The sequence below is a fragment of the Homo sapiens genome, chromosome 6, assembly GCF_000001405.40.
Source record: "Homo sapiens chromosome 6, GRCh38.p14 Primary Assembly".
Lineage (NCBI taxonomy): Eukaryota > Metazoa > Chordata > Mammalia > Primates > Hominidae > Homo > Homo sapiens.
In genome coordinates this window covers 70171365-70190510 of record NC_000006.12, presented here as the reverse complement: position 1 = coordinate 70190510, position 19146 = coordinate 70171365, and the positions used below count along the sequence as shown (strand labels likewise).

The 19146-nt window shown below is 39.3% G+C and overlaps 1 protein-coding gene across 8 annotated transcripts in view; it reads right to left on the bottom strand.

The window, feature by feature from the left end:
- COL19A1 (collagen type XIX alpha 1 chain) overlaps nucleotides 1-19146 on the bottom strand; it is a 345913-nt gene that overhangs the window by 21958 nt on the left and 304809 nt on the right. For 7 of the 8 annotated variants that reach the window (NM_001858.6, XM_047418188.1, XM_011535437.3 and 4 more), the window contains 8 exons: nucleotides 18494-18547; nucleotides 13947-13991; nucleotides 10155-10199; nucleotides 9988-10050; nucleotides 5773-5808; nucleotides 5596-5640; nucleotides 2266-2436; nucleotides 130-196 (listed from right to left, as the gene is read on the bottom strand). In NM_001858.6, the coding sequence (NP_001849.2) occupies nucleotides 130-196; nucleotides 2266-2436; nucleotides 5596-5640; nucleotides 5773-5808; nucleotides 9988-10050; nucleotides 10155-10199; nucleotides 13947-13991; nucleotides 18494-18547 (526 nt within the window). Of the gene's footprint in view, nucleotides 1-129; nucleotides 197-2265; nucleotides 2437-4582; nucleotides 5170-5595; nucleotides 5641-5772; nucleotides 5809-9987; nucleotides 10051-10154; nucleotides 10200-13946; nucleotides 13992-18493; nucleotides 18548-19146 lie in introns of those variants that run through there. The other variant, XM_017010259.2, reaches the window with a different exon arrangement.

Sequence of the window (19146 nt, the reverse complement as noted above, 5' to 3'; positions counted from 1 at the left end):
AAAATGGGCTGCCCCTTAAGGTTTTTGTGGCATGGCCATCTTTCGAGAATGTTGCTGGAGGGATTCCCCATAGTAGGTGGGAGGTGGGAATCAGTGAAAAATTCGAAAATGTTATTAAGAAAATCTAACCTTCAAAAATCCTTAGGACCTCTTGATTAATATACTTCTTTATTTCTTCAAATGAAACTGCATCAGCCTGAAGAAGGAAAAAAAAAGGTTGTTAAAATAGAGCATAGCACAAATGAATAAAGAATAGAAATATTGGGTTGGCTTGCCTATTTGAAACTTCTGTAGGGATGCATTTATCAAGAAAAATGCTTTTGGCAATTGATTATATTGGGCAATAAATATCTGTTGCTTTGACCAAATTCTGGGAAGAAGTTGAAGTGTGTAATTGCTTTAAAAGCTATGGGCTGGGATCATAACCAGTGGTATCAACAGGTTTCCCATTAAATGGAGACACATGGCTTTATACAGTTAGGGAAGACATTCCTATGACTTCATTTTATAAGGTTAAATAATCTAAAAAGTATAAACATGATGTTAGTAGCCTAATCACAATTTAACTTTTAACCAATCCCTGGATGGCAAAGTCAATATCTAATTGATATAATGTATTTTCAAAGGAAGACAACCTGGAACAGAACTCCAAGTATGCTGGATTATTTTAAAAAATGTTGTATTCATGGGATAAAAGCAAGTTTTACCCATTTCATCATAAAGTTTATTCTGTAATTTACACATTGCAAGTATATAGGTATTAAGTAATTTTCTTTTCTTAATTGGGATCTGGTAAAAGGAAGCAGGCAAATAATGTCAGCTGAATTTTCCACCTGTTGACAAGTAAATCCACATGCATTTGACAAAGAATTTAACATTTATAACAGTAATGTTTTATTATAGTGCCTTGATATTTTTAAAGGAGCTATTATTTTTTTCTTGATGGTTAGAATTTCAAAGTATTTTACTACTCTTTATAGTTGGTGATTATTATCCAGGGGTATATGTGTGGCATTAAAGACAATATGATGAAGATTGGCGGTTGTGACAAAGGCAATAAGCCCCACTCTGAGATATAAACATGAACAAAGACCATAACAGAAGATGGTCAGATGAGAGAGTTGGAAGCTCTACGGAAAATCACCATGCAATGTGAATTTAAGAATGAAGCAGAGCCTACTTAGATAGTGAGCCTTAATTTATTATAAACATTCTTGGGTAGGTTCCTCATCGCTCTTCACTGAAAATTCCTCTATCCTGTCTGTGTGTAGATATGTGATAATAGTATTGTTGTGGGGTTTCCTAACATAATGGTGCTAGTTCATTTGTAACAACAAACTGACTTAGAATGACAAAAAATAAAAATAAAAAAAATCCAATATGATGGGCTTATAAAGTGATGATTCCGGTAGGACAGAATAATTCCAAGAATGCTCTATTTCATTAATGAACTTTAATTAATGCAACTAATACCAATTACTGACACAACCCCAAGAGTGAAGTTACACAGGCTTTATTCAAGTAGAGTTTCAGGACAGTGGGCAGAAATATAGAAGTATGAAAATTGCATGAATGCTCAGTTTTGCTTTATATCTGGTATTGGTTGATTATCTGAGGAGAATGTGTCTTTAACTGCCCTACTTCACTTCAAGACCCTCCTTTCTTCCTAACATGGATATTTTCAGATTAAATTTCTCTGCAGAATAGCCACTCACCACTCCTCTTGAGGATTAATAAAGATATGGGCTTCCTTTACTAAACACTCTTGGCCTAAGTGGTTTCTACTTCAAGGCACTACTCATGGCAGATTTGTTGTTCTGATATTCAACAAAATAGAGTATGAAATGGACATGTTTCATAGCAATATGAAACAGGCATATGTGGTTTCTGTGTAGTGTAAGGAGACATTAGAGACAGTACCTGTATGTTAAAAGCGTGGGTTTGAAGCCATCCAGACCTGGGTCTGACCCACTTAATAAATCTGTGACCTTGGGCAAGTTAATGCTCATTTTATGCGTTTATAAAACTGGGCTGAAAAGGACACCAATCCTTCCAGAATGATTGTGAAGATCAAATGAGGTAATGTATAGTAAGTGCTTAGTAGAGGATCTGGCACATAACTTTAAATGACAGCTATTATTGCCCTCACGGGGACCAGTTTAGGTTTGTTTTATTTATTTGAAAGGCAGTATCATTGCTTTCATTGTAAAAGGGATACATGGTCGGTACAAGCCAGGAGCCCTAAAGCGTCTTAGCACTACTTACCGGAATGCCAGGGATGCCTGGAGAGCCTGGAGGGCCTTGGTGGCCAGGGGATCCCATGGAGCCCTTGTTTCCTGGTGGACCCATAGGACCGATGGCCCCCTTCATGCCTGTAAGGCCTGGTTTTCCCCGTTCACCTTGTGAGCCTCTGTCTCCTGGAATCCCCTGATCACCCTGTTAAGGAAAAAATAATAACAAAGAATAATCTCTTCTAGCATCAGCTGTAGTTGAGAGCAAAAGTTCTGGATTCATACTGGCACTTATTAGCTGTTGGGCCTTGTATAAATAACTTAAACTCTCTGTGTCCTAGCCTCCTCTCCTACAAAGTGGGCATATTAATAGTATCCATTAGATAGGGCGATTTTCAGAACTAAATGAATTAACCCAAGTAAAGTGCTCAGAGCAATGCCTGGCACCTTGGCAGTACTTAATACATAAAAGATAGAGAGAATGTTAGGTGTGCTTGGTTGCCCATCTAGGATGATGGCAGTTTTGAGTCAATACCAGCTGTCACTTGAGGTCTGGGTCTCCTTTGCAATGATAAAGGAAGATTGCCAAGAGGATCTCATTACTGAGACTTTTCACTTAAAAAAACTTTAGGACATTCAAAATCTCTCCTAAATCATGTGCTCTCCCCACCCCTGGCTTTCCCCTGGATCTCATTACTGAGACTTTTCACTTAAAAAAACTTTAGGACATTCAAAATCTCTCCTAAATCATGTGCTCTCCCCACCCCTGGCTTTCCCCTGGATCTCATTACTGAGACTTTTCACTTAAAAAAACTTTAGGACATTCAAAATCTCTCCTAAATCATGTGCTCTCCCCACCCCTGGCTTTCCCCTGTTTGTTTGTGCTTTATTAGACTCTTCAGGTTTGTTTTCTGTATTTGTGCTTTACACGTGTATGCATGTGTGTGTGCACGTTGAGTGTGATCACTGTGCCCTAAATATATACCCACGGGATGGTGAGAAGGGAGAACCATTGAAAAGATCAAAGCAGGTGACTGGGGGGAGGATGTCACTGACATCATTTACTCAATAGTATAAATGAACTATGGAAGAATCAGTTGGGCCAGGCGCGGTGGCTCACGCCTGTAATCACAGCACTTTGGGAGGCCGAGGTGGGCAGATCACCTGAGGTCAGGAGTTCGAGACCAGCCTGACCAACATGGAGAAACCCTGTCTCTACTAAAAATACAAAAAAATTAGCCAGGCGTGGTGGCACATGCCTGTAATCCCAGCTACTCAGGAGGCTGAGGCAGGAGAATCGCTTGAACCCGGGAGGCGGAGGTTGCGGTGAGTTGAGATCACACCATTGCACTCTAGCCTGGGCAACAAGAGAGAAACTCTGTCTCAAAACAAAACAAAACAAAAAAACAAGAATCAGTTGAATAAGATGTCATAATTAATTAGTAAAATATTATATTAGATGTGCCTAAATGTGATATGAAGTTTGCTTGATGCTGTTTTTTATCCTGGAATGTGTCTACTACTGTATGTGTTTGTGCAAGAGAGAATGAGAGAGAGAGAGAGAGAGAGATCATGGCAGTTGCTTCAGTCATAAATTTTCAAATATTCAGTTGCATAACTCCAGGAAGTGATCCTCACACCAAATATGACGGAATGATGCTTGAAGTGGTCCTGTATCTCATTATATTATTCTTTTAACTATGACTACTCTGCAGAAGGGCAAACTCAATTTCTCTTGACTTAAAAATTAACAGAAATAAATGAACAGTTACAGAGATTTGTGTGATCATAGAATCAGATATGGAAATAAGCCATGTAGAAAGAAATAAAAGCACTTAGGCCTGGTATCAATGCTACTGTCTTAGTTATAAAAATATATCTGCATACAGGTCTGTCACTCCAGCTCACATTTGGAGAAATTTCTGAGATGACAAGAAAAAATATTAGCACACTTTGATCAATGATTAATACTCTGATCATGTGCAAGATAAATGCAATCTTTAACATATTAAAATTATTTTATAAGTTAGGTACAAAGATGTTCATTGTAGTGATGTTTATTATTATGACAACTAGAAGGAATCCAAATGTCCAGCGGACTAGGTAAGTGAAATAAGGTATGGTCAAATAGTAGAATAACATATAGCAATTAAAAGGTAGATATAGATCTATATTTACAGACAAGAAAAGATCAATATATATCGTTAGGTGAAAAAAGACACTTACAAGACAGCATAAGCTCCTTTTTGGAAAAGTATATGTTTATATTAATACATATAAATATATGTGTATATTATGTATTAGAGTGAGAGAGATGGAAATACGTACAAATATCACAGTGCTTATCTCTGTGTAGTGGGGTAAGGTAGATTTATTTCCTTTTAAATTTACATCATCTGTATTTTCACATTTCCTTCAGTTATTATAGATTACTTGTATAATGATAAATAAAAGTTAGCGAACTAGACACCAGTATACAAACATATGTGCCCACACTCACATACAATAGCAACCCTTAATAGAATTACACTGAGTAACAATGTTTGAGTAACTTCTTGCAGTGGCATGACTCTACTAGAAATTAATTCTATTAATTCTAGTGGAAATTAATTCTAGTAGAAGTTAATTCTAGTAGAAATCAATTCTACTAGAAAATGTTGAGGTTCATTAAAGGAAATAAAGAGAAATTGCAATAATGACATTAACGCTCCAAACAACACAAAACCATATAACATAATTGGCATTACTAGTAACTTCACTATACTTTCAGTTACACTTTCCATTTCTCTAACCCCTCACACCACCTTCTTTACTCTACTTAGTTTTTCTGCATGTCAGTAGTTCTCAATTGCAGTGATTTTGCTTCCCAGGAGACATTTGGTGATGTCTGGAGACACTTTTGGTTGTCACAATTGGAGGGATGGTGGCGCTACTGCATCTAGTGGATGAAGGCCAGAGATGCTGCTAAGCATTTTACAATTCCCAAACAGCCAACCACAACAATTATCTGCCCCTGAATAATCACAGTGCTGAGGTTGAGAAACCTTACTCTAGATAAAAAGAACATGGGTGATGGTTATAGTAGAGATATATGTCTAAGACAGGAGGATAATAAAAGCTTCCCAAATTTAAACAGCAAAGTATACTTGGCTGTGTACAAAGGCCAACTACATAGATGTACCATATAACTTGCTCTGAGTCCGTTGTCATATTTAATGTCTGGTAGAGATCTTTGATCGCCTACACCCTAGCCTTTATAGATTTGGTGATTTGCAGGGGTCTACACACATAATTGTGTAACTCAAATGATGGGACAGTTGTAACAGACAGACTTGAATAACAATCACAATAGTAATATACATACACGTTCTCCTTTGGGGCCTCTGTCTCCAGGCTTACCCATGATGCCCTGAAAAACAGATGTCAACATGAAAATCACTCCTTGCCAAGATTTTTCATCAGTCTGATTGATGTAAATGTTGGTAGGTATTCTGGATGCAGTATGCATTATAACTTTTATTTTAAATCATATTTCCCATACCTGAGCACCTGGTATTCCATCTTTTCCATTTATTCCCTATAAAGAAAAAAAGGATTAATATTTCTAACTCTGCATTAACATAGTTAAACACAACAAAAGCATAAGGTTTCGAGGACAGTTCCTTAATCATATTTCTACTGAGAGCTTGGTAAAGAAAGGTGGTAAAATGGAAAACAAATAAATAGAATCTGACAGTCCTGAGTTCGGATTCTGACACTGTCACTTACTAGTCCCATTAACCTTTTTGGGCAATTTACTTAACCTCAATAGCATCAATCTCTTCACTAGTGAGGAAAATAAATAACCTCAAAACTAAGAATTAAGTGAAATAACATGAAAAATGCATGGTCCTCTATAAATAGTCAACAAAGATTATTTTCCTTTCTTATTCTTCTATTAGGTCATCCTGAGAAATAAGAAGGTGCCTCATGGCATAGGTGGCTGGAGTATGGCATTTTTGTTACCTTCTAACAGGTTTTCCAGCACAGAGTATCATTCTCAGTAAATGGTCTCAGTTGCTGCTGGGGAAATTTCATAACATGGCCAGAGCATGATCCTACTATGAAATAAAGTGTCAGTCAGAGAACAATTGTTATTTTTCAGTTGGAAATATGAAAGAAAAGCAAGAAATGTATAATCATGGTTTTTGACAGTATTAGTCACTTTTTATTAGAAAACTGGAAGTTTCTTGAACTTTAAAAGGGAGTTCTAGAAGTGATAACGAAGCCTAGTCCTGCTTAAAGATTTATAAGACTGAGAGAACTATTGGCTGGGAGATATAAGAAGGAAAAGTATTCGAGGTCAAATCAAATACCCAGGGCCCAACAGCAAGTGTGTTTTAGAGATCTGATTTGAAGAGGAAGATCAAGGTGAGGAATATGATTTCTTAGCCAGCAGGCAATTGCATGGACTTGCTCCTCTAAAAGCCCAAGGGACTTTTATTGTGCTGGAATGGATTCTGTGGGATGGAACTGCAAAGAACTGCGTGTTTTCACTGCTATAAATTATGCTGAAATCTGTCACAGTTGACAACCCAACCATAGTTCGCCAACCTTTCTGAAACATCCTGGGAATTATTGAGAGTACGTTAAATAAGAACATGTTACCTGAAGTGTATGGTTCAAAGAATTTATTACATTCAGACACACAAGGAACAAGGATAAAGCTGATTAGGAGAGGATGTGAAAGAAACAGCTGTGTCACTTGAATAAGAGAAGATAAATCTAGAGTAAAAGTGTAGTTCATGTTTTTGGTAACAATATAAGAAAATACGTAACCCTATAACCTGTTTTTTATCTCCAGTAATTTATCAAAGACTATCATCAGTGTTCTCTTTTGTATAGGAAGGTGTTACTTTCTATCCACAGGGCAGCCCTGCTTTCAGAGATTTTTACAATAACTCATATGTATTTGCTCCTCTCTACCCTCATCTCATTCACCTGGCAGAGCCCCTTTCCTGGGTACATTCTGCCTACCTCACATCTGCATCTGAGCAGCTGATTGGCTGAAGAAAACCACGTATCTTTGCTCGCTTGTTCCAACCCAAATGTTCAACAGCAGATGGCAAGCAGCACCCTCAGCATTACCAGGCCATCCCTCTGTATTTCCCAATTTGACTCCCTTTCTATCTCTCCAAAAGTACTCTTTCACACATTTTCCTGTCTCTTCCAAACTTCAGCATCACCTCCCCACTCCTCACACTTGGACAACCTCCATTCTTCTTTCACTAACAAACAAAAGAGACCCCTCTCACCATCCCTCCACCAGTTGCGTCAATCTTCATGGATTTGCACCCCAACTTTGGCACCCCCACACTCCACAGTTAGGAAGGGTGAACTGCCCCTGTTCCTAGTTAAGACCAATTCCCACTTGTGAGTATACCAGTTCTACTCAAAGTAGTCTTCACTCTCCTGTGTCATCAAATTTTCCTCTCTCAACTGGATCATTCTTACCAAGATACTAACATGTGGTGATCTCTCCCACCAATGACCTCTACGTTTCTGATGCAGTAGAGAATTATTACCCCTCATATTACTTACCTGTATGTTGATCACTCCTTACTGCTTTCTCCTTTCTCTTAAAACAGTTCACTTGACATCAAGGAAACCTCACTTGCCCGATTTTCTTCCTGTCTCTCTGGCTGCAGTTTCACAGCCTTCTTTGTTGGGTTGTCTTCCTAACAGTTGAAGCACTCTCTTCCCTTCCTATCCACAGTGACTCCACTTTTCCAGGCTCAGGTTTAGATACCCTAATTGGTCTCACCAATCTTGGCCTCTCCTAAGTCTCCACTGTGTACTTGACATCTCCACCTGAATACCTGCTAGTGCTCCATCATGAACATGTCAAACAGAACTCTTGGCTCTCCCTCCCAAATCCACCTACCTTCAGTCTGCCCCATTTCACCAAACAGCAGCACTCTCACATAGTTGCTCAGACCCTACACCACAGCTGTGATTGGTCTCTTTCCCTCACACTTCTCTAGATTAGTCCATCAGCAAGTTTTGTTGCTTGCTGGCTCTCTCTTCAATGTACATCCTAAGTTCCTCTACTCATGGCTGTTTCCACTGTCATTACTTCTCGTGGAGATGATGGTGATGTTTTCTTACTGTTCTGTCTTCCTCTACCCCACTCCCTACAGCCTACTCTCCACACAATATCAGAGTGATCCTCAAAATGTTCAATCATTTTCATTATTTGCTACAAAAGCTCCAGTGGATTTCCATCATATTTCAAATGAAATCCAAACTTCATTCCCTGGCTTGGAAGTTCTTCATGGTCTGGCCACTGCCTACATCTCCCTCCGTATCTTTCCAACTCTTCCTTCACTTCGTTCATTCTTGACTTCATGCCTTTTGATGAGGTCCTGGACCCCATCGGGCTCACTTCTCTCCTAGCCATTTCTTTTTCCTGAAACAATGGTCCTCTGACCTTCCCATGGCTTGACTTCTCACTTTATGCAGGTTTCTGCTCAAATTGCAGGCAAATTTTCTCTGAGCCCACTATTTGAATAATATTCCAGAGCTTTACTCTACTTATACCTTCTTCTACTTGAAACTCTGTGTGTGTGTGTGTGTGTGTGTGTTGTTTTTATCTGTTTTCCTATATTAGAATGCAAAAGCTATGAGTTGTTACCACCTAGAACAGTGCCTAGCATGTAGGAGGTGCTCAAGAAATATTTGGTGATGAACAAATTGCTTTTTGCATAATCTCCTGGGAACTCAGTGGCAGGCTTTAATGATATGCCTTGCAGGGGATGGGAATGAGGAGGTAAGAGGAGGCAGGGAATGAAACTAATATTATTGAGTACCTCCCATAGCCAGGCACTGGAAATGCTTTCCATATGTCATGGCACTTAAGTGACTCATAAAATCCTTTCAACCATAATTCAGACCCAGATCTTCCTGACTCTAAATTACATTTTTTTCATGTCTTCTCTGAGGAAATGGTGGCCACCAACCCTGAAGGTTTCACAGAGGTGCCAAACTGGCTTCCTGAATTTTGCACTGTTTGTTCACCTCGACTTCTTTCCCATACACACCACAGCAAACAAATCAGCAGTGACCTTCTGTAAAGGATAACTCTGAGAGTGAGATCTGTCTTATTCATCTTAGATCCCCTCCCTAAGGGCCCAGCACATTCTTAGCAAACAGCAGTGACTAGATGAATTTATGTGGAACTGGATTAGTCAGAATGATTGTTACAATGTCACATCAATACCACAGATCAGTAACCAAGAGCTCTTTTAGGACACAAGGGGATGAGACATTCACCAGTAGTGATTTATGAAAGTGTAAGAAAACAAGGCCTGTATACAAAGGAGGAAATTTGAGAAAATAACTTCTACTTTAGGATTTGGTTTAACATACAGGTATTATATCTATAAGTCTTTGGTTTCTTTATACTTTAGGACATGACAGGCCATTATATTTTCTTTAAGTCTGTTGAGAACATTAGGCTTAAGAAATGATGAGTCAGATTTCCTGACACTTAAAACTCTCACCATTTTCAACACTGTTTAAGACATAAAGATACCACACACAGATCTAGGGAACTCAATAAGAACTCCTGCCCTTGCCATCAAAAATCCATCTGTGCATTCTTCTTACTCCTTGGAAACTGCTTATTCAAATCTCAGAATTTCTGAGGTGGTAGATGAGGAGATAATGTTAGAGCATTTCTCTAGGTGGCATATTTTAAGTAGTAAGAAGTACTTACTGGCTTTCCTGAGGGTCCTTCTGGTCCAGGGAAACCTATATCTCCAACAGGTCCTCTCTCACCCTATAAACACATCCACAGACACAAATTAATTGCCAACAAATGTTTTAAAACTGCATGCAAGTACAACACAAGTACAACTGTCATGAAAGTAACTGCCAACTCACCGGTTCCCCTGGAACTCCTGGAGGCCCTGGGGCACCAGGTTTTCCCTGGCAAGGCAAATTGAAGAGAAATGTTAGGAGCCAAATTGCTGAACGACACCATATGCTTCTCTTCCCCCAACCCCAATTGAGTTTATAGTGCTCCCAAGGGTGATGCTCTCCAGTGGCATTTCTGGCCAGGTGTGGTGGCTCATGTCTGGAATCCCAGCACTTTGGGACGCTGAGGTGGATGGATCACTTGAGGTCAGGAGTTCAAGACTAGCCTGGCCAACGTGGCGAAACCCTGTCTCTACTAAAAATAATACAAAAATTACCCAGGCATGGTGGGACGTGCCTGTAATCCCAGCTACTCGGGAGCCCGAGGCAGGAGAATCACTTGAACCCAGGAGGCGGAGGTTGCAGTGAGCTGAGATCATGACATTTCACTCCAGCCTGGGTGACGGAGTGAGACTCCATCTCAATAAATAAATAAATAAATAAATAAAGTGGCATTTCTAAGGGGACAGAGACTGGGGAACATATAGTCAACTCCGCAGGCCATAAGTTTCAGACTGGGGTGCAGTTCTTCGAATATATATTTGTGTGGATGGTGGAGAGTAGGAGAGGAGAATATTTTTGAAAATATTAGCCCAAAGTATCATCATTATTGGACATCCCTCTTGTGCTTATTTTCCTGGCAGCTCTTCTTTACTTTGGGAGTGGAGAAATGGGCACAAAGCATCAAATAAGTTTTTTTCTAGGCTTTGAGATTCACAAGAGGGCTTTTAAGTTCATAGTATGACAACCTGAAAAAATCATGTTTGATTTGAAAAGCCATGTTTTGTTGACAGGAAAAGAAACAGATAAGTTTGTGTCACTACACCATGGCTTGGATGACCGATCCTGGAGCAGACAGACCACAGCGAGGGACGAGAGGGGCAGACGGTCCAGTGGAGACTGGAAGCACACAAGGCCTGAGTGTGCAGGCAAGGCTTGGTTGCCTCTGAGAAGGAACCACCTCCTGTCCCTTGGTCTAATGTGGCTGGGAAAGATAGACGACGTGGGATGTAGGTGTGGTGGGGCTGAGACCTGAAAAAGCCAAGTAGGTTTTGGAGAAATATGAAAAGAAATGGGCTTTTTTCAACTTGCTGCTTAGAATTCCGGAAGGAGATCCCTCCATAGGTAGAGATACGGTGCTGAATGGCAAAGCTAGGCAGGCAGAAGTTAGAGAGAGCATCCCTGGGTCCCCACAGCTTGCCTGTGCTGAAGTTGTTAGGGGCCTGAGTGGGAAGATGTGTTAGAGCTGAGAAGGCCAATGACCTGAAGGGTCTTATTGTGGGACATGGCGGGTATAGAGGGCTCGGGCCTTGAGATCTGAGACAAAGAGATAAGGGACATTGATGGAAGTCATTCCTAAGGTCAGGTAGGACCAGTGGAGAACTCAGAGCATCCGGGGGAGAGCATGCTGACCGGAGGCCCCACCCCACGACCAGCACTCACAGGCACTTCTTCCTGTAAACCCACACGCTTTCCTCAGAGTAAGGCAAAGAAAGAAGCTCTAGGGGAAATCCCTGGTTAGCCCTGAATATACAGGAAAGGGATAGACCGGTCCGTTCTAGGAAGAGCAGGATTGGGTCCCCTTGGTAATCAGCTGAGTTACCAGTGTCTCTGTGTGGGCAGGCCCCAGCCCTGCTTCAACTAGAACAATCACCATTTTTCGAAAAAAAATTTTTATCATGGTAAAATATACATAACCTAAAGTTTACCCTCTAAACCATTTTTAAGTGCACACTTAAGTGGCACTAAGTGCATTCACACTGTCATCTAGCCATCACCATTGTCTATTTCTAGATTCTTTTAACTATTTTATCTTCTGAGCCGCAGAAGGGCCAGTTATAAAAATCTAACATGCATCTTTAACTGAACATGTTTGTAGTATGTAAATTTTTTACCCTTTCTTATTTATGTAATTGTCAGTCAGTGCTTTTATTTTATTTTATTTTTTGAGACAGGGTCTTGCTCTGTTGCCCAGTTTGGAGTGCAGTGACACGATCTCAGCTCACTGCAACCTTTGCCTCCCATGCTCAAGTGATCCTCCCACCTCAGCCTCCAAGCAGTTGGGACTAAAGGTGCCCAGCTAATTTTTGCACTTTTTGCAGAGACAAGAGTTTTGCCATGTTTCCCAGGTTGGTCTCTAACTCCTGGGCTCAAGTGTTCTGCCCATCTTGGCCTCCCAGAGTGCTGGGATTACATGTGTGAGTCCACTATGCCTAGCCAGTTAATGTTTTTAATTATGACATATGAAAACTGCTTTTTTAGTAAATATATCAGATCTTAGACATCCAACTAAGTGGCAGGCTAGCCCCTTATCTCAATAATGCTTCCTCTTTGAAAAACATATTTGGAATTTCTCATTTGGATTGCCTGTGGCCACTGTTGCACATCTTTTAAATACTTGCAATGGTGGCCAGTATTTTTTCCTAGAAGATAAGCTTAATTTAGGGTAATAGCAAAATGTAATTTGTAGACACACCTGGGTGAACACAATGAAAAAAACTAGACTTTATTTTATCACAAGGAAACAAAAATTCAAATCACAGGATGTGAGTATAAGAGGAACAGGTTGTAAAGGTTCTCTAAGGACACTTCCAGAAACTGATTTCCAAATATGTTGCTGGGAATGGCTGTGAGTGGGGCAGTAGTGAGGGAATAGAATTAAGTGTGTAGTCAACTTTCAAGAATACTTCCTTTTATAAAAAATTTGGAAGAGCTTTCCAAAGAAGATATTTTCATGCTACTTTTACAGTCATACGAATATTTGACTTGATCTATAATGGCTAAGTAAGGGAATGTCATCATCTACGAAGGATGCAGATGATGGATGGGGCTCTATTTTGTGTTGTTAGAAGTTAATGGAGTGAAGTAGAGTGGCTCTGAGCACTTTGTGGGATGGCAGTGGGAGATGAGCAGGGCTTTGGGTGGTGTTGGGTGTCAGTAGATCTCGGTGGGTGACTGTGGGTGGTGATTGTAGGGCCTTTATCTTATCTTATCTTTCTTATATTCTTGTGATACAAGCCCATGGTTTCCATTGACTTTCCTGTAATGTTATCCTGGACCTGCCCTGCAGGAGCACCTAGCAAGAGGATAAATGGCCTCTTATTCATAAAGCGTGACCACAAAATTTTAATTAGAGCATCATGAATGAAGATCAGAATGATCTCTAGGGCTCAGAGAAATAATTTCAACCTTTCCTGGAACACTTCCTATTCATTTGAAAAGGCCTTGATGAGATTAAAACATTTGACACCAGAGAGCAACAAAAATGATTGAGAGGATTGAAGGGCTAGTTTATGAGGAAACATTAGCAGCAATAAAGCTCTGCTAATAACACTGGGCTAAGGAATAACTCAGGCAGATTGCATTAATACAAGGAACTTGAAGTACATGCCTGAGGATAAGAACTCTGTCTTTTGAAGACTGAGAAACCTTGAAATATGACAAGAATAGAGAAACACAATAAACTTTCCAAAGCTGTGCTCATAAATTAATGTATAGTAACTGTGTTTCCTCTCCCCTCCATGAAAGTGACTTGGGAAGAAAATAAAAGAGGACAAAAAACAAAACAAAACAAAAGAAATAGAGGATTGTGGAGGTGGAAAATACAGGTGGCATTATTTATGAAACTAGAATTGTCAGGAACCTAATGCCATGGGAGTTATGGTATGCTCTCCTGCCTGTCTTGATCCCTGGCCACAGGTGTATCATGGAGATAGAACCGTTTACCTGTGAAAATGATGTGAAGTAATCTGAACTCACCGACATCCCTGCTATTCCTGGGGGACCTGCTGGGCCTCGATCTCCCTGTTGGGATTTAAAAACATTGCTACTTTAATGACATCAATGAAGTCTTTAGTTATGAAATTAATTCTCAAATAATAATTTGGATTTGGTAAAGCTTTCCTTTGGATCTGATAAGTGTTATTGATATTAGATGGGGTGAAGCTAGTGTGTAGATGGAAAAATAGCAAACTGAGTAGCTAATTGACAACTGAACTCGTTACAGCTTTTTTATTTTCCATAAAACTAAAGTAAATAATAGTTTTAATGAAAGCAAGCATAATCATTTCTGTGACCTATTTTAATGTCCCCTTACATACTTATAGTTAAATTAGTCAATATTTTTATTCTACATGTTCAAAAGATCATTACTCTTGCTTAAAAGATTAAGCACTTTGAGTGTCTTCCAAAAAGCTTTTCCTATCCTTGTCTCATTGGATATAGAGTTAGAATAAAATGATCTACAACTAATGATTTGTAGTTCTCATTTGGCCAATTAGAAGATCCCTTGAATTGCTCTGAACAACAGAGTGACTCAACTCCTTTTTAAGAGCCAATGTGATATTTTAGATAAAGCTGACAATGCTAAAAATACTAACGACTATATATATGGGATAATAAAATGGCAATTTTTGGGGGCAGAAACTGAATTTAAAAAACTTTACTCAGGGACATAAAAGGCTTGATTTAATGAATGACGAGATATGCTCTGTTCTTGGAGAGCAAGACAATGTTGTAAAGGTGTCATTGCTAACTAAACTAATTTATAAATTTAATGCAATTCTTACAAAATTGCAGTGTGATCAAATGATACTAAAGTTTACTTGGGATAATAACTGAGAGGATAAAAAAATTAAAAGAATAATAATAAAGAGATACTAGTAATACCAACATTTAAACATATAATAAATAAAGCTATAATGGAATATTGGCATAAGATTAAGCAGCATATCAAAATACTATAACAGAAATATCAGAAACAGACCGGCATTTATAATAGGATTTTATTTAACAAACAGTTCTAATAATTGGATAATTTCATTGAAAAAAGTTTGCTTCTTCTCTTTACATTATATCCCATATGAATTCCACATAGATTTATATAAAAATAAAATAATATACATTATAAAAGAGCTCAAAGAATATATTAGTGACATTCTGATTTTGGTTGAAAATAAAAGTAGAAGTCATTTTGTGCATAAAACCAAAACAAGAAATCATAAAGAAATATAGTGTTAGATTTGACTACATTAAGGTTATATTTACAATAAGATTAAACGTAAAAATGAAAGGCAAAGATCAACTAGGATGAAAACTCCAACACATGAGATAGAAGTAATGTCTTTAACGTATGGAGCATAGCCATCATCAAAAAGAAAAAAATAACTGATAGAAAAATGGGTAAAGGACATAAACAGGCAATACACATCAATTTCCCTCTGTTCCTTTTGAATTACAAAATTTTCATTTTTAAAATTAATATACTAGAACTTTTCATTCAATGAAATATTTGCATGTCTCATGCCTCTCATTCCTTAACCACTATTCTCGAATGAACTTACCTCTTATTTTCATAGTTACACCTGACACTTTGTCAGTAAAAATATTTGCTGCCCATCCATAATCTCAATTTCATGCGTTCCAACTTTGGACCACCATTCCACATCATTCTAATTCACTCTTTGAGTACCTTGAACCCCTAAACCCTAATCCATTGATGGTACAAATTTGTTATCTTTCACTCCCTCAATGGCCTCTCCCTCTCTCTTGCCTAGTTAAAATTCCATGGTTACTTGTTAGAATCATTCCCTTGTGTATACCAGTAAGCCAGTAAGGGTCTTTTCCCATTCTTCCGTCCAGTACTCACCGTCAAAAGCAGAACATTGTTGAAATCCAACTCCCCTCCTATTCTGTGTCTTTACCTGAATGTCTGAACATGGCTGGAAAAGCACATGTAGTCCTGTTTTTTTTGTTTTTTTTTTTTGAGACGGAGTCTGGCTCTATCACCCAGGCTGGAGTACAATGGCACGATCTCGGCTCACTGCAACCTCTGCCTCCTGGGTTCAAGTGATTCTTCTGCCTCAGCCTCCTGAGTAGCTAGGATTACAGGTGCCTGCCACCACGCTTGGCTAATTTTTGGTGGAGATGGGGTGTCACCACGTTGGCCAGGCTGGTCTTGAACTCCTGACCTCAGGTGATCTGCCCGCCTTGGCCTCCCAAAGTGCTGGGATTACAGGCGTGAGCCACTGTGCCTTGCCAGCACACATAGTCTTGTTGAGAGGTCTCACTTCAGTTCATGACCATGAACCTCAAGAGGGTCCCTAGGGCTGAGCAGTCATCACACTTCTGTGGTCCCTGAACTATGGACCTTCTCCCCAACCTCTTACCCTACCTTGCTCTCAGATTAATGGCCTTGCTTCCTCTTTATCTGAGAAAATTTAAGCAATCAGAAAACAACTTTTGTAGACTCCATCCAATACATCTTCCCACCTATCAGCCTCTGTCCCCATACTCTGCTTTCTCCCCTTTTACTGTAGATAAACTATCCTCTCTGAAGCCAAACCCTCCACATATGCACTAGGTCCCCTTCCCTCTAGGCTACTTAAAGACATTGGCCCAGCACTCTCTCCTTTCTCTCCAGCATCATCATCCCCATCTTCCCCCTCTCTACTGAGTCATTCCTTTAGCATATAAGCAGTCTGATATTTTTATTATCTTCAAAATCTATCTTATAAAACCTCGACCCTACTTCCTCTAGCAGCCTCTGGCCTATTTATTCGCTACCGTTTGCAGCAAAACTCTGTCAGCATTATTTATACTGACTTGCTGACTCTATTTTTTTTCCTCGTTCTCTCTTAAACCCATTCAAGTCCACGGTTGTTCCTACCATATAGTGAAATAATAATTTCTCTGGTCAAGGTCATCCATGACCTCTACATTGCTAAATCCAATGTTCAATACTTGACCATTCTACCTGGCCCCATCTCCATTGTACTTGACCTATTTGCAGTATTTGAGACAGGAGATCACTCCTTTCCCTTTGATTCATTATTCTCTCTTGGATTGTAGGATACCAAGTTTTCCTCCTACCTCGCTGGTTACTTCTTAGTCTTCCTTGCTCTTTGCTCCTTTTCTTGATCTCCTAATACTGGAGGGCCTTGGGGCTCAATCCTTGACTCTTCTGTTTCTAAAAACTCTATTGGCATTCCCTTGGTAATCTTATCCAGTCTTCCGCTTTACAACAGCATCTCTATGCTTAGAACAGCCAAATTTATATCTCCACTTAGACTTCTTTTCCACATTCCTTACTTTTATATCAGACTGCCTACTCAATACCTTCACTTTGCTGTCTAACAGATATCTCCAAATTTGGTCTCACGTACAAAATTAAACTCCTGATAATTCCACCCCTTCAAAATAGGCCTTGCTCATAGCTGTCCTCATTTCAGATGATGTCCGCCCTATTTTGCAAACTGCTCAGGTCATAAAACTGAAGTTCGTGTTTGACTCCTCTTTATTCTCTAATAATGCAATCAATCTGAAAATCCTATCAGTGCTACCTTCAAAATATATCCAAATCCAGGCATTCTCACTATCTCCACTGTTTCTGCTCTGATCTGAGCCAGCATCACCTGGCACCTGGATTACTGGATATCTTCTAACTGGCTTCCCTACTTCCACCCTTGCAACTCTCTGGCTGCAAGTTCCCTCATGCCACTACTCAGAAATCACCGATGGCTCTGCATTTTACAAAGATTGAAAGATAAAGGCCTTACAATAGCTGTTAAGCCTTTTTATTAGTGTTTCTCAAACTTCCTGTGGTAAAAGAGCAATCTTTTATTTATTTTCTAACATATCATGAACAAAGATAATTCTACCATCACATGCTTGCTAGACAATTTTAGACAAATTACTGGACATGTTTTTAGGTGCTTACTCTCAGTCTCTGTAATAACCTTGCCACTGAACCCATAACAAAGGGTCTGCAGACTGGCACTGGTTCTCCACTGGCTATACATTGAGTAGTACTGCTCTATATGACAAGGCCACTTCCCACCTCCACCCCCACCTCTCTGACCTCATCTCCTACGACTATCTCCTCACTCCCTCCCCTGGTCTCTTTGGATACATCAGGAAATCTTATGTCTCAGACTCTTTAGACCTGCTGTTTCCTCTTCCTGGAACATTATTCCTCCAGACTGGAGGGGACTTGGCTCTCCCTCTCACCTCCTTCAGGTCTTTGCTCAGATACTGCCCTCCTACCCCGTCAGCATTCCTGATCCTCCTTAACCCATTCTACTTTTTCTTTCTTTCCATAGCCCCAACAATAAGATGTAATTTTAAAATGTTTATTCTTTTAGTTTCTATATCCTTTTGCTAGAATGTAAGTCCCATGAGTACATACATTTTTGTCTGTTTTGTTCCTTTATATATCCCTAACCTAAAACAGTTTTTGGCACATTAGGTGCTCAGTAAACAATTTTGAATGTTGAATAAATGAACACATTTCTAACTTCTGTGCTTACCTTTACACCTGGAAATCCTTCTAATCCTGGCAACCCCATTGCACCAGGCTCTCCCTGTTAAATATGAACATAAGAAATGCAGGAGCAATAATCAAAATGTTTTTAAGCATTGGTTTCCAAAGCAAAGATTTTTTTGCTTAACCTTCCCACCCCAAACATTGATGTGTAATTTAGCAAGGAAATGATATGCCCTATTTTTAAGTAATGTATTATTGCATTTGATGTTTGAAAATAGTTTGAGAATAAAAGCTATTCTCCAGAGAGGTATATTTTCTGATTAATCATTTTCATTCTGATTGAGAATCTAATCAGAATGAATCCCTCTACTCAGTGATAACTCCAATTTCAATAAGAACTAGAATGAAAGATGGGGCTTTAATAAAGTTTGCCAATTTGTGAGCTACCTGGTGCTGCTAGATTTTCAGAGAATAAGAATAAACTGTTTAAGAGTAGATGAAGATGGAGCACTCAAAGCAGTGTTTATCATCTTTAAGTATTCTCTGCAGCTGGACAAGAATTGTGAATGCTTAAGAAGTTGACCCCAGGATCATTATCTCCAATAACACTAAAAGTTATTGCTCAAGTTGATGAGTCACTGGAAGGGGGTAGATTAGTGTTTTCTATTTTTAAAAATCTTTACATTTTCTAGTGTA